The sequence below is a fragment of the Homo sapiens genome, chromosome 2 (genome assembly GCF_000001405.40).
Source record: "Homo sapiens chromosome 2, GRCh38.p14 Primary Assembly".
NCBI classification, from domain to species: Eukaryota; Metazoa; Chordata; class Mammalia; order Primates; family Hominidae; genus Homo; species Homo sapiens.
The window spans coordinates 102,755,845-102,769,578 of record NC_000002.12 but is presented as its reverse complement, the minus strand read 5'-3'; the positions used below and the strand labels follow the sequence as shown (position 1 = coordinate 102,769,578).

The 13,734-nt window shown below is 37.3% G+C and overlaps 1 protein-coding gene across 10 annotated transcripts in view; it reads right to left on the bottom strand.

Annotated features, from left to right (window-relative positions):
• Nucleotides 1–13,734, bottom strand: part of TMEM182 (transmembrane protein 182) — a 106,904-nt gene that overhangs the window by 74,260 nt on the left and 18,910 nt on the right. For 5 of the 10 annotated variants that reach the window (XR_427070.3, XM_006712287.2, NM_144632.5 and 2 more), the window contains exons 1-3: nucleotides 7,230–7,548; nucleotides 6,893–6,992; nucleotides 5,152–5,250 (exon numbers count right to left, since the gene is read on the bottom strand). Coding sequence is in view for 9 of the 10 variants with exons in the window: in XM_006712287.2 (XP_006712350.1) it covers nucleotides 5,152–5,250; nucleotides 6,893–6,992; nucleotides 7,230–7,361 (331 nt within the window). In the remaining variant the exon portion in view is untranslated. Of the gene's footprint in view, nucleotides 1–5,151; nucleotides 5,251–6,892; nucleotides 6,993–7,229; nucleotides 7,549–11,105; nucleotides 11,191–12,039; nucleotides 12,167–13,734 lie in introns of those variants that run through there. The other 5 variants (XM_017003376.2, NM_001321345.2, NM_001321346.2 and 2 more) reach the window with 3 other exon arrangements.

Sequence of the window (13,734 nt, the reverse complement as noted above, 5' to 3'; positions counted from 1 at the left end):
ATGTGTGCTAACATAAAAACAGAAAAGCAAGATAGACATGTATAGTTATGATGATTAAAACAGAATATAATATGCATATAAAAGGATTAAAAACCCACTAAAATAATACTTATTGTTTGAAGGTATGTGTCCACATTACTTTTTACTGTATGTTATTTAAACTGAATTACACCTATTTGAAAAGGAAACTTCTTCATCATCCTTGATCCCTCCAGCTCTTTTTTGTTTGGCTACCAATTTTACATGTTAACTCCTCACATATCAATTATATTCTTTATTTCCTTTTCATTTTTACTGTCCCACCTTTGTTCAACCCCTGATGATACTGATTCACTGAATGATTTTGATTTTCATTCACTCCCAGGCTTTCTCCATTTCCCTTCTGTGTTGCTAGACAGCCCAAAACAACATGTCCCAAGCAGAGGGATATGTGGCATTGTTCTGATGAATAAAACATTGGCAGAAACTGACTGTTAAATTCTGGAAGCACTTCCTCTTTTCTGAGGATGAAAGAGCATGAAGGTGACTGTCCACCCCCAAGGATGGTAGAAGAAACAGTTGACAGAGCCTGGGTTCCTGGCAGCATCATTGTGGAAGCTGCTTCTGACCCTCTTGTTCCAGGAGAAAAATAACCTTTTTGTTTTCTGTTACTTGCAGCCTAATGCATTGCCAACTAACATCTTGCCTCGCTGCCTCCCTGCTTGTAGCCTCACATCATTCACTTCAGCTTACACTTCTATAAGGGTGAAAGAAGAAAAGACCAGAAAATAGTACTAGATAAATAAACATTGACAATAAAAGCAAAACACAGCTGGCAGGCGAAAACAATGTGGAAGACCAAAAATTACAAAAAGCACGCAAAAAAATAAATTTTTTTTGAGATGGAGTCTTGCTCTGTTGCCCAGGCTGGAGTGCAGTGGCATGATCTCAGCTCATCGCAACCTCCGCCTCCCAGGTTCAAGCAATTCTCATGCCTCAGCCTCCTGAGTAGTTGGGATTGCAGATGTGCACCACCCCTCCTGGCTAATTTTTTTGTGTGTGTTTTTTTTTTTTTTAGTACAGATAGGATTTCACCATGTTGGCCAGGCTGGTCTCTAACTGACCTCAAGTGATCTGCCCGCCTCAGCCTTCCAAAGTGTTGGGATTACAACACTTTGGCTACCATGCCTGGCCAAACAAATTTTTTAAAGAGTTGTGTAGGTCCATTTAGTAAAGAGCTAAAGAAATTCTGCACATCAATAGTGACTTAGGGCATCAGTATTAATACCACAGTACAGTGTAATAATGAAGTCTCCCCAAAATATGCATTCAGCTTTTGGTCTACAGTGGATAAAATAGTGAGTCAAACATACAAGACTCCCACTCTCATGGAGCTTAGAATTGAACTAGAAAAAAAGTATATGAACAAGATAATTACATGAGTAAATAATTTAAAACTGTGCTATGAATTATCAAATTAAAGACTGGGTTTTATAAAGGAGAGCATGGCCCAGTGCATGTACCAGTGGCGTAGGGGCAGGTAAGGAAGTCTTCCTTGGGAAACTGAAGTTTGAACTAGCTGGAGATAAACCCGCTCTGTTAGAAAAATGAACAGAGGAGGAGGAAGGAAGAGAGGAACAGCATTTGGGGAAGTTTAGGGCAGGTCCTGGGGCAAGGGGACAGATACTGAGATGGAGGACCTTAAAGAAGGTCAGATGGCTCACCCCCATAAGTATATATTTGTTCCCACTCATCAAGAAAAGATGAAATTGTGTTCATTGCATTCTGCTTCAGAAGAAACTAAAAGTATGCAATTGAGTTTCTAAACATTTCCACTTGGAAAAATAAAATCAAACTAGTTTATTGCAGAAAATAGTAACTGTAATTTTGCATAAAGTCATTCTAGACATATTTTTAAGCATCTAGTAATTACCAGGAACTATGCTTTGGAGAGCTCAAATAAATAATGAAGGAACTGAAGTAAACAAACAATTCCAGTTAAGCATAACGAGCACTCTGATAGAGGGGTCATCAAAGGCTATGGGGACACTGAGAAGGCAAAAAATTAATTCTCTCAGGGTTGAATTGTCTTGAAAATTCATTTATGTTCAGTACATCGTTGCCAAATGATACCAAACAAGTGAACTGTGACTGAATGTAAACATGAAACAAACCAGAAAATCTAGACTCTGACAACTCTCCAAAGGTAATAGAATTGTTTAATGCACTTAGAAGTACACAAGCCTACCTCAAAAGCAATTCTGTGAATTAGACCACCCTCACCAGGCCTGGCCAGTCATTCAAATAACTAGATTTGAGGATAATTGAATTTCAGAATATGTATTTGAGATTCTTTTAAAAGAAAGAAAACACTGAATTAGACCTGATCATACACACAAGTCAGAATTGAATATAAAGGTAGAAAGAGCCAATGTAAGTTTAATTTGTTCTTTTGTTAAGATACAAATTAAAGACATATTTTTAATAGTATGCACTACAATTAGCCTTTTCATTCATTGTAGTTTAGTAGATTATCGATGAAACAAAAGCCAGAGACTTGGTTCTTTGCACTGGCTCTGCCAATAAGCAGCTGTATGAAGACAGAGTCACATGATTTCTCTGATTCCCAGTCTCCTTATTATAAAAGGATAATTTCATCGGTAGTGTCCTATAATTCTAAAATTGTTACTCCAGAAAAATCATACACCACTATATTATTTTCACTGAATTCAATATTGGCTAACTGCAATTGTAAAAACTCAGGACACTATAAAGCCATTTCACCAACAATTTGCCAGGCCACAATACATCAGAATTTATAAATGATACTTTCAATTTACCAAAGGTGACCTGGCAAGTATCTGATGTTGGGTAATTGTGAAGCTACATGAAACTTAATAGTAGCTCTAAAGCATAGTGAAGTATACATAGTCTCATTAACTAGGAAACCATACTGAAAAGTCAGGTACAAAGCTTCCAATGAAATCTATACCTTTCTCTTGGATACAGGAAAGAAACAAAAAAACCCCAAATTTAACAAAGATAATATCAAATTTCCTTGTATATTATTATGGAGATGAGTGAAACTTGTGTATAGTATTTCTGTTGTAGAACACATCTTTGCACATCTCAATCATTTCTACCTAAAGTGATTGACAAAGTTTCTGAAAGTAAATGAGTTCCAATACGTGTGCCAATGAGGAATTTGATAATTTAAAAAAATTGGATTTGGTTTTGTCACTAGATCAAAAAAGTGACACACTAATTAAATGCAGTGCTACATAATAATTTTAAGTGTAACTGCAGTATAATTTTTCTGACATGTATTTACAATCCATCTCCATCATAATTATCATGCACAGATTATGTTACTTTGTTTTTCAAGTTCTCCACTATCTCCTTGAAGTGCAGGCTTTTCAAATATGGGATCATTTTTAAATATACAGTGCCTACAATACCTATCTTATCACAGGACCTCATTATATGAATAACAACAATACTAGTATTTATGCTAATACCTAATGTTCTGGAAAGCCAACCTTGTATTACTTTTCAGTTCATTTTATAAAAGTAAGAATGTTGGGGAAGGAGCATCATTTTCTAGCTTGTCTGTAAAACAAAAGAGTTTCTCCTATTCTTTCCTATGCCATCCATCTCTTCCCTTACTAGTGACAGGTAGGCTTGTATACTTCTAAGTCCATTAGACATGACACAAAGGTTTTGACAAATGTGAGTGAGGTGCCTTCTGCAGTTTTTAATGGGAAGGAGCATCCATACCACACATGTTTTCAAGGAAAATGGTCCCAGTCCTTCGAACCCAAGGAATCCTGGTGGACAAGCACAGCTGTGGGTCAGCTCACCTCTTTCCCTATCCAGACCTCATACCCTCTTTATAAGTGTCCTATTAATGATGTAATACAAGCAAATGTTACATTCTTTGACAAAACTAAAAATTATAATGTATGGAATTACATATTTAACAGGAAGATGAAAAATAGTTCCATGTAAAGATGTGTTGAGTTCTGTGATGGTTATTGTTATATATCCACTAGGTTGGATTATGGTGCCAAGTTGTTGGGTCAAATACCAGCTTAATATTGCTGTGAAGGTATTTTTAGATGCAATTAGCTTTTATAATCCCTTGACTTTGAGTAGAGCAGATTACCCCCTACCCCATACTATGAGCGGGCCTCATCCAATCAGTTGAAGATTTAAAGAGAAAAAACAGGTGTCCTGAGGAAAAAGAAAGTCAGCTTCCAGATTGCAGAAGAAAAATTCTACTGGAGTGTCCAGCCTTCAGACTGGAGATTGCAACATCAGCTCTGACCTGAATCTCCAGCCTGCCAATTGCCCTGTAGATTTCAGACTCACCAGGCCTTACAATCACTCTCTCTCACTCTCTATGTGTGTATGTGTATGTGCACATGCATATGTATATACATGTATGTGTGTATATAATATATATTTATGTGTTCTATTGTTTCTCTTTTTTCTGGAGAACCCTGACTAATATTAATTTATTGAGAACATTAAATATAATAGCTACTATTTTTGAAAAACACTTTTTTGTTCTATATATGACATTGATAGTCTGTATCAACCCTTAGCAAGTTATTACAAATTTCATGTTCTTAATGTGATTTTAAGTTAATGATATCTGTCTGTCTGTCTCCTATGGGATATTACACACACAGAGTTCAGTCATTTTGTATAAATATAGTAGCATAATTACATATTTATATCATATATATTTATTGTATACATATTATATATTTATCTGTGATATTCTCATGTGTAATGATGACATAAAGTTTTAGAAGTATGATGTATATTACAATATTCTCAACTGTAGGACTCGTTTTAGGTCTGTTAAAACCTTAAGAAGCGGTTCTTCTTAATAAATATTACTATCTTCATATGGGAAAACACATTTAAAAATACTTTTATAGGCAGCTAGTAAATTACAATGACTTTACTTTTAGATCAAAGTTATGTTCTTTAAAATTATAAATGGCACATTAAAAATAACATTTTTTAATCTAACAGATATCAAAAATATTGAAATTACAGGTCTTAAATTATTTTTTTAATTGCTCACAACAATTTTGATCTGGGCATCCTTCAGAAAGATAAGACCCTTTTAGAAGTAGGCTGAGGACAGAGGGTACTTACTAACTGCAGAGTCATAGGAGGTCGAGTTGTGCTCGCCTCTCATGAAGGGGTACGGAGACAGGTAAGCATGTGTGCAGTTCTTGGACGGTGGCTGATTGGCTAGGAAGAACAGCAAAACAATGGCACTTGTTATTGAAAAGCTCAGTCATGACTCATCCTTAATGGAACAGAAATACAGAGCACAAGGGTTACACAAGCAAAACAAAACTACTGGTTCCATCAGCAAATTCAGCGAATTGTTGTGAGGAGGAAGGCCTTCTAGGAAACTCATATCAAGATGCACATGAGACGAAGGTGGATTCATCCAGAACATCTAGCTACATGACATAATTCAATGGAATAAATGCAAATGCCCTTTATATCACCTTACGATTTAAGGTACCACATTTCATCTTTTTTCACATACTCTCCAGTACCCAACAGTGTCTAGCACACAGTAGGGAATAAAAAATAATTGTTTTAAAAATCTAATAAACTTAAGTTTAACCTTGATTAGTTCAAATTAATAAAAAAATTCTTCTATATCCATTTTATTTTAGGGAAGAATGCAAATGATAAGTTATACAATAATTCAAATAAATTTTTAATATTTGAAAACATCACAAGAAGGCACTTTTATGTTGTCTGAGAACTTAAAATTTTTATATGTACACTTTAAGGTGGACTGAAATATTGAAATATTCTTTCTTTCTCCAAGTCTTTGGCAAAATCTTCCTCTTGCACAGTCTGACTTACTTCCCTTTACTAAAGTCTAAACCATTTCCACTGGCAAGTTGTATGCTTATTCTCCTGCCCCCAAATCCACTGTAAGATAGTCTATCAGGTACTTGCCTCAAAACGCTGCTTCATCACTACTTTGTTCCTTATATATGCCAACTTATCACCAGCTTGCTTAAGTCTTCAGGGACCTCCTATTTTTATTAAATATTCCATAATCCTGACTATTATGTAAATACCATACTTTGATTTTTGATAAGAAGACTAATAATTTCAATTCTCAATAAGCTTTAGGCTAATAAACAGCCCTTTCATTGTTGAATACAATGAAATAAGCGCTAGCTATTTTCAATAAATTGATTTTCAAAGATTAATTCAATATAAAGAATAGAGTTGAACAAATGCATTATAGTTTTTAAAAGTTATGCTACCTTAAAAAAGAACTTTAAAGTTTCAATGAGAACACAAACATCAAAAGCAAGGCACTTCTTGATAGTGCCAACAAACTTGGTTAAAGCTCAAATAATATAAGCTTTCATCTGCCATGGCTGGTAATTAAGTTCCATGATTTTTTTAAAAAAAATATACTGTTAACTTTGAAGTTATGAATATAAAATAATACATCTCTATTTATGGATTTTTACATTTGAGATTTCAAGGGCTGATAGCAAAAAAATCTTATTTATTTGCAACATAGTATTCACACACTTGAAAAAATGCTATAGACAATACCTGTCCTGTTTGTTAGAGTTAGTGTATTCTAAACAGGAGCAGTGAAACAATGGATAATTCAGTTTTGCCATAAATATTCAGACTCCTGTTTTATGCTAAAAGATAAAATAATTATTCCTATAGCCATGTCTACTTACTGAAAAGGAATCTCTACATGATGAACCTTTTAAAGACATCTAATTGAGATTTTGTAACTCACAATCCAGTCCGCTAGAAGTGACATATACTATGTAAGAAACTGTTCATTTTTATTTTACAGACAAGAGGGAAAATAAAGCTAAATTGTACTTACTGTACCAGAACTTCCAAATATTGGAGTCATTCTCTTCCACAATCCCATTAAACCAACACCTCCAGAAGAACCCTTCATGGTGAAAAGTGACGTTCTCTATCTGCACAGAACAAAATGAAGTAACTTGCCATCAATACAAGAAATATAATCAAAATCATTACAGCCAGTAAATTTTTAAGGACATGTATTTTATCCCAAATAATGAAGCTCAGTAGCTTTCTACATATCTCTTCCATGAAGAAATAGACACTCCACTACTATTCTCTGATTTCAAGAGCATACATAAGGGTATCTTCATAACTACCATGTGCATCACTATTTTGAAGAAGAGACTCACATTCTTTTCACCTGAACATCTCCCCACTTCAGTTGCAAGAAGCCAATAATCCGATCCAAAAGCCACCAAAAAGAGTAACACCCCCAAAGCACCAAAGAGAGCTCCAAAGAAGATAGCGATATTTAGTCTCATTTTCAATTCACTGGTTTCCTTTTAAATAAAATATGAAATTTTAAAATGGTAAGACACCTAGTTTCTCAGAAACAACAGCAAAAAAAAAAAAAAAAGAATAATATTTTTGAGTTGGCAGAATCTTCTTGAGAAGGCTGTCCTAGCTCATGTTTTGGTGGCTTCTCGCTCACGCCCCACCGGCAGATTCATATTCCCTTTGCTCGCCCCTGGAGGAACTCCAGCCCAGCAGCTGAGAATTGCTGGCTATTTTAAGATAGTGATTGAGGAGCTGTCTTTCTCCCATGGGGATCAAAAAATAGCTGACCTTCTCTTGACTATAGAGAGAAGTATCAGGAACTGGCTCAGATTATCATTATTGCTGTTGGGTAATCCACAGAAGTAGAAAGAAGATGGAATGGTTATGAAGTCATTGAAAGCATTGGCCCCAAATCTTGTGTCTGAACAAGCTCCTCTTAGTCTAGAATGCCCATTACAATCCCAAAGACACTTAAGACTCTCTTTGAAGATATATAAATCACAGATATAAAGAACCACAAAGACCGATCTTGAACACAATTGAAGTTGTAATTAACTTAATTCCTTTTGGACTTTTTTTGTGGTAGAAAATACGTTTTTGGTCAAATAGTCTAACATAACACAGTACAGTTCACGTTTATAATCTAAACATTCAGAGGTATACTTAAAAGGTCAAGAATGTTCATGGTAACATAATTGTTGAAAGTATAAAGAAGAGCTTTTATGCAGCATACACTAGTGACATAAAAACAACACTTTCTGCAGCAGCCTCATGAGTCTTATACAAGTTATTCCAAATAATCATCCCCAAAGTGGACTGATGAAAAAAGTCTCAAAAATGTATTATTTCCTGAATTAAGATGAAATAACCTGATCGACTTCTTTTTCCTTCATTTTAAAATATCTCACTTCCTCAAAATATGAATCATACTTAATACTCACACAGACCACCTAATAGCAATGAATCTACACTTTCTTCAAGGCTTAACTCTTTACAGCTTATTTGTTTGTTTTGTTTTTCTGTCTGATATGCCAGAGGAGAGTATTTTTCTAAGTATTTGTGTGCATTTAAAATCTTGCACCGTTCCTTTGGTTATTGTTTTTATATTCTCAACAATAATCTGGAATACTTAATCTTCCAAGGGGGCATCTCAACTCTACCAGCTTTCTTCACGCCTTCTTTTTTGTGGCATGGGATAGATCCTTACAATGGATTCTGTGAGAACAAAAAGATTCTCAATAAAGATGAAGGGCCCTGTTAGGATGTAGCTATATGCAATCAGAGGTATTCAAAAGCTATGAATAAGGCCAGGCGCGGTGGCTCACACCTGTAATCCCAGCACTTTGGGAGGCCGAGGCGGGTGGAGACCAGGAGCCTAGCCAACATGGTGAAACCCCATGTCTACTAAAAATACAAAAAATTAGCTGGGCATGGTGGCGGGCCCCTGTAATCCCAGCTACTCAGGAGGCTGAGACAGAAGAAACGCTTGAACCCGGGAGGTTGAGGTTGCAGTGAGCCGAGATCGTGCCATTGCACTCCAGCCTGGGCAACAAGAGCAAAACTCTCAAAAAAAACAAAAAACAAACAAACAAAAAAAAACATGAATAGAATTCTAAGCCATATAGAATGTTACACAATCATTAAGGATTAGATTTAAGTTAAGGGGTCATCTGAGCTAATCCCTCATCTAATGCTTAAATATTTTTTATAAGACTTCCCACACCATCAAGCTATGACATTTCCAGCCTGTGGCATTTAAGGACATCAGTAACAGCCATAATAGCTCTGCCTGATTTTCTGCCAAAAGCTGCATCCTAGGAGTTTCCAGATATTTATTCTATTCTGTCCTTTGAGATTGTGAAGCACAAGTTTCAATCCTCTGTCTGTGACAGAACCTTCTGATATTTTAAAGATAGCCATCACCCACGCCTCATCAATCACACTCCTTCCCTACCCCTATATAGAGGTCTAAGCTATATTTTTCTAAGCCAAACACTCTCTTCCTTTAAACGCCTTGAGATTGGTATAACTCCAGACCTCCTCCTCTCCGTTCTGGTTTTTTCCTACAATTTTCAAGTGCTTGATTGAAGTGAGACATAGTAAAATATTCTGGGTATATTCTAGCCGTTCTTACCTGGATGCTGGCTAAGAGTAATAATGGCCTCACAACAATGTTCATGCCCTAATCCTAATCTATGAATATGTTATTTTACATGGCAATATCCTGGATTACACAAGTGGTCCCAATCTTATTACAGGAAACCTTACATGAAAACCCGGGAACCTGTCCTAGCGGAGTGGCCAGAGAGAGAAAGGTGACCACAGCAAAAGGGTCAGACAGTTGCTGGTTTCAAGACAGAGGAAGGGGACCACAAGCCAAGGAATATAGAGTGCATCTAGAAGTAGGAAGAGGAAAGAAAACAGATTCTCCCCTTGAGCCTTCAGGAAGGAATGGAGCCCTGTCCACAAATTTGAGCTCAGTGAGATCCCTGTGGAATTTCTGGCCTCTGGAACTGTGGGATAGCAAATCTGTATTGTTTTAAGCCATTACTTTGGGGACAATTTGTTATAGTAGCAATATAAACTTAATACACATGCTATTCTATAATTAATGCAATATTAGAGCAAACTAAGTTTTCTGCAGGGGAGGGGAATACATCTTCAGAAGTGCTTATTGTGGACTTTTGAGGGTCCAGGCATTTTATCAGATATTGAGGTTACAATATATAGGCCCTGACTTTGAGGAGTTCATAAGCTAGTGGGGGTAAAAAAAAGATTTGTTAGAACAAAATATATGGAGGTTTAATAATGAGCTCTGGTCATCCTGTACACATTTTACTGCTCCCCCACACGCCCCCTCCCTGGATTAGTGTGGTTGTGGTTGCAGTGGTTGTACAGTTGTGGTTGTAGGTGACAGTGTTGTTGTTTGGAAAGAAGGAGCAATCTGTTGGATAGGAAGATTTTATTTATCTTATTTATATTTCAATGGTTTATGGTTCAAATTCCATGCAATAATACTAAATCTTTAACACATGCATATATAAAAGTAGATTTTTTTTAATTAGGGGAAAAGAATATAAGACTTTGTTGTTACTATTTATCACAATTTTGGTCTTTGTCAGAGAAAAGGATCATCTTTCTGGACTAGGTTCATCAATGAATAACATTTTCTCACCATTTTTGGTTTATGAAAAATATATAAACATCACCATAAAAATGTAGCTAGAGTGTTTATAGGACAGGGAAGAGCCCGGATAAATGCCATGAAAGACCACTCCCTAGGGGGGCATTGCCTCAGGAACTAGGTATGTGTATTCAATACATTAAATCAGCCATTAATTTTATTAACTTCAGAATTTCCAACCTTTCATATGTGTTCATCTATTGAGAAAAATAGAATACTTTTGCTATCATAAAACTGAGCCATTTTAGCTTGATAATTTTCAATGCTTAGCATAGGACTTGGCACACAACAGGCACTGAAATAAAATAGAAATCAATTTGTGTTAGGAGTCTTGGCTGAGATGCAAATACATGACCTCCTGAGCAATCCAACTGGCAATCTACCCCCAAAAGAAACAGTGCTGATCTGGCCCAGCTTGGTACTTGTTAAGCTCTGGAGAGCTGGATTTTAGCAGGGTGCATGTTTCCTGTACAGATGTTTTCAAACCATCTTTTAACAAATCCTTATTAGACTTTTGCTAATGAAGACATGAAATGGAGCTTACCATGGAGGAGGTAAAAGGTGTCTTTTTTCTTCAGAAAATTGGACATTTGCCTGTCACTTGAAACTCTTCTAGTTTTCCATGATTCCTAAGGAATTTTAACAGCCATTCAGTGTTGCTTCCCCAAGTAATCTTAGAAGCCTAAGAAAATGTCCATGCACTAGGAAGGCTGTTAAGCAGCTGTGGTGTTCTTCACAAATTTACAAACTGAGACATAGGTTCTCTCTTCCCTTTCTCTCTCTTTTTTAATGAAAGGCCAGGAAAAGGGGCCTTTCAATAGAAAGGGCTGGTTAAGCCTCAACCTCAACTCCTAATAATCCTATAATAAAACGGCTCCATTGCTAGTCTATGTATCTATTCCTTATGGGAATATTGACTCTATCTTTACATTGATAAGGTTATCACACTGAGTGATATGGTTTGGATTTGTGTCCCCACCCAAATCTCATGTCAGATTGGAAGAGGGACCTGGTGGGAGGTGATTGGATTATGGGGATGGATTTCCCCCTTGCTGCTCTCATGATAGTGAGTGAGTTCTCATGAGATCTGATAGTTTTAAAGTGTGTAGCACTTCCCACTTCACTCTCTTTTTCCTGCCACATTGTGAAGAAGATGCTTGCTTCCTCTTTGCCTTCCGCCAAGATTCTAAGTTTCCTGAGGCTTCCCAGTCATGTTTCCTGTTAAGCCTGCAGTACTGTGAGTCAACTAAACCTTTTTTCTTCATAAATTACCCAGTCTCTGGTAGTTCAGTTCTTTATAGCAGCGTGAGAACAGAATAAAACACTGAGTCATCAGGGCCACAAGAATAAGCATCATGTCTCAGGATCAATACTGTAGAAGAAGTTGATTGTCAAAAATGTAAACTGAGGTGCCTAATAGTAGCTAATATGCATAAGACTCTACCAAGTGGCAGGCACCATGACGAGTACTCCAATACCTTGAATACAGATAAGTCTTTAGTAGGCAGAATATGAAACAACCAGTGTCTCTGTGGGCATCCACTCTCCTGGGCAGGAATTTCATCTTCTGAAGGTCTTCATGGTTGGAGGAGTTAAAGATCTTCTCTGTGACACGAAGGACAGAGGTAAGCAAAGAGGGATCTTCATGGGGTCCCACTACTAAAGGCAACTCACAATAATTTATGGGTAACGACAATGTTAATTTCCTAAATGTTAAATGTTTGTTTAAGACTTTCAGCCTGTCCTCCCTGTGCTCCCAAGTCTAAATGAGGAGGCAAAGGGGCTGAGTAGGGACTGTGGAGTGATTGTCCAAGAGTAGATGAGCCTGGGGGAAAGAATAGGTAGCAGGTCTGCTCCCCATGTAGATACTCTACTCTCCCTCCTTGCCAATCTTAAGAATAGGATTTTGGCCAGGCCCGGTGGCTCACACCTGTAATCCCAGCACTTTGGGAGGCCGAGGCAGGTGGATCACGAGGTCAGGAGTTCAGGACCAGCCTGGCCAAGATGGTGAAACTCAGTCTCTACTAAAAATACAAAAATTAGCAGGCGTGGTAGCAGGTGCCTGTAATCCCACCTACTTGGGAGGCTGAGGCAGAGAATTGCTTCAACCCCGGAGGTGGAGGTTGCAGTGAGCTAAGATCATGCCACTGCACTCCAGCCTGGGCTACACAGTGAGACTCCCTCTCAAAAAAAAAGGAAAAAAGAATGGGATTGTGCTTAATTAAGAAGAGTTGGAGTTTCCTTTCATTAATGAGTGATCTTGAGCCAATGGCTCAACTCTCTGAGTTTCCGTTTGTTTGTTTTTTCTTGAGACGGAGTCTCGCTCTGTTGCCCAGACTAGAGTGCAGTGGCAGGAACTCAGCTCACTGCAACCTCTGCCTCCCGGGTTCAAGTGATTCTCCCACCCCACCCTCCCAAGTAGCTGACACTACAGGCACGCACCACCACACTTGGCTAATTTTTTGTGTTTTTAGTAGAGATGGGGCTTCACCATGTTGGCCAGACCAGTCTCCAACTCCTGATCTCAATTAATCCACCCACCTCAGCCTCCCAAAGTGCTGGGATTACAGGCGTGAGCCACTGCACCCGGCAGATTTCTGTTTTTTAATATGGAAAATGGGAATACTGCTTCAGAGGATTATTAGGGGTACTTGGTAAGATGACGTGTGTCAAATGAGCGGTGTTTCTATGTATTAGCTTTATATTCCACTTTAGGTGGAGATCACATTTCTGACAAAGAAATTAAAAAACAAATAATAAAACAAAATTAAAAAGCAAAAAACACAATAAAATAAAACTGCCTTTGCTAGCACTGCAAATCTGATTTAAATCTATTTCACCAAACCAGACTAATTTCTCACCAGGTGTTCCCATTGCTCCCACACCAATACACACACATCATCCTTCCTCCTGGAGCACCAGTAGCTCCTCAAATCTTTGCTTGTTCCCCATCTGATTAGAATGCTTTTTTCTTCCATCTACCTGATGACCTCTTCATTAGTTCCTTCAATAAATATTTACCAAGTGCCTACTATGAACTACATGTTCTTTAAGTGTTAACGGCAACACTCTGCAAGGAGATTCACATAACTCATACAAGTTTTCATATGTGTTTAATTACACTCTCCCTTTCCTAGACGGTTTTTAGAATCCACATGTTGTGGAACAAATTG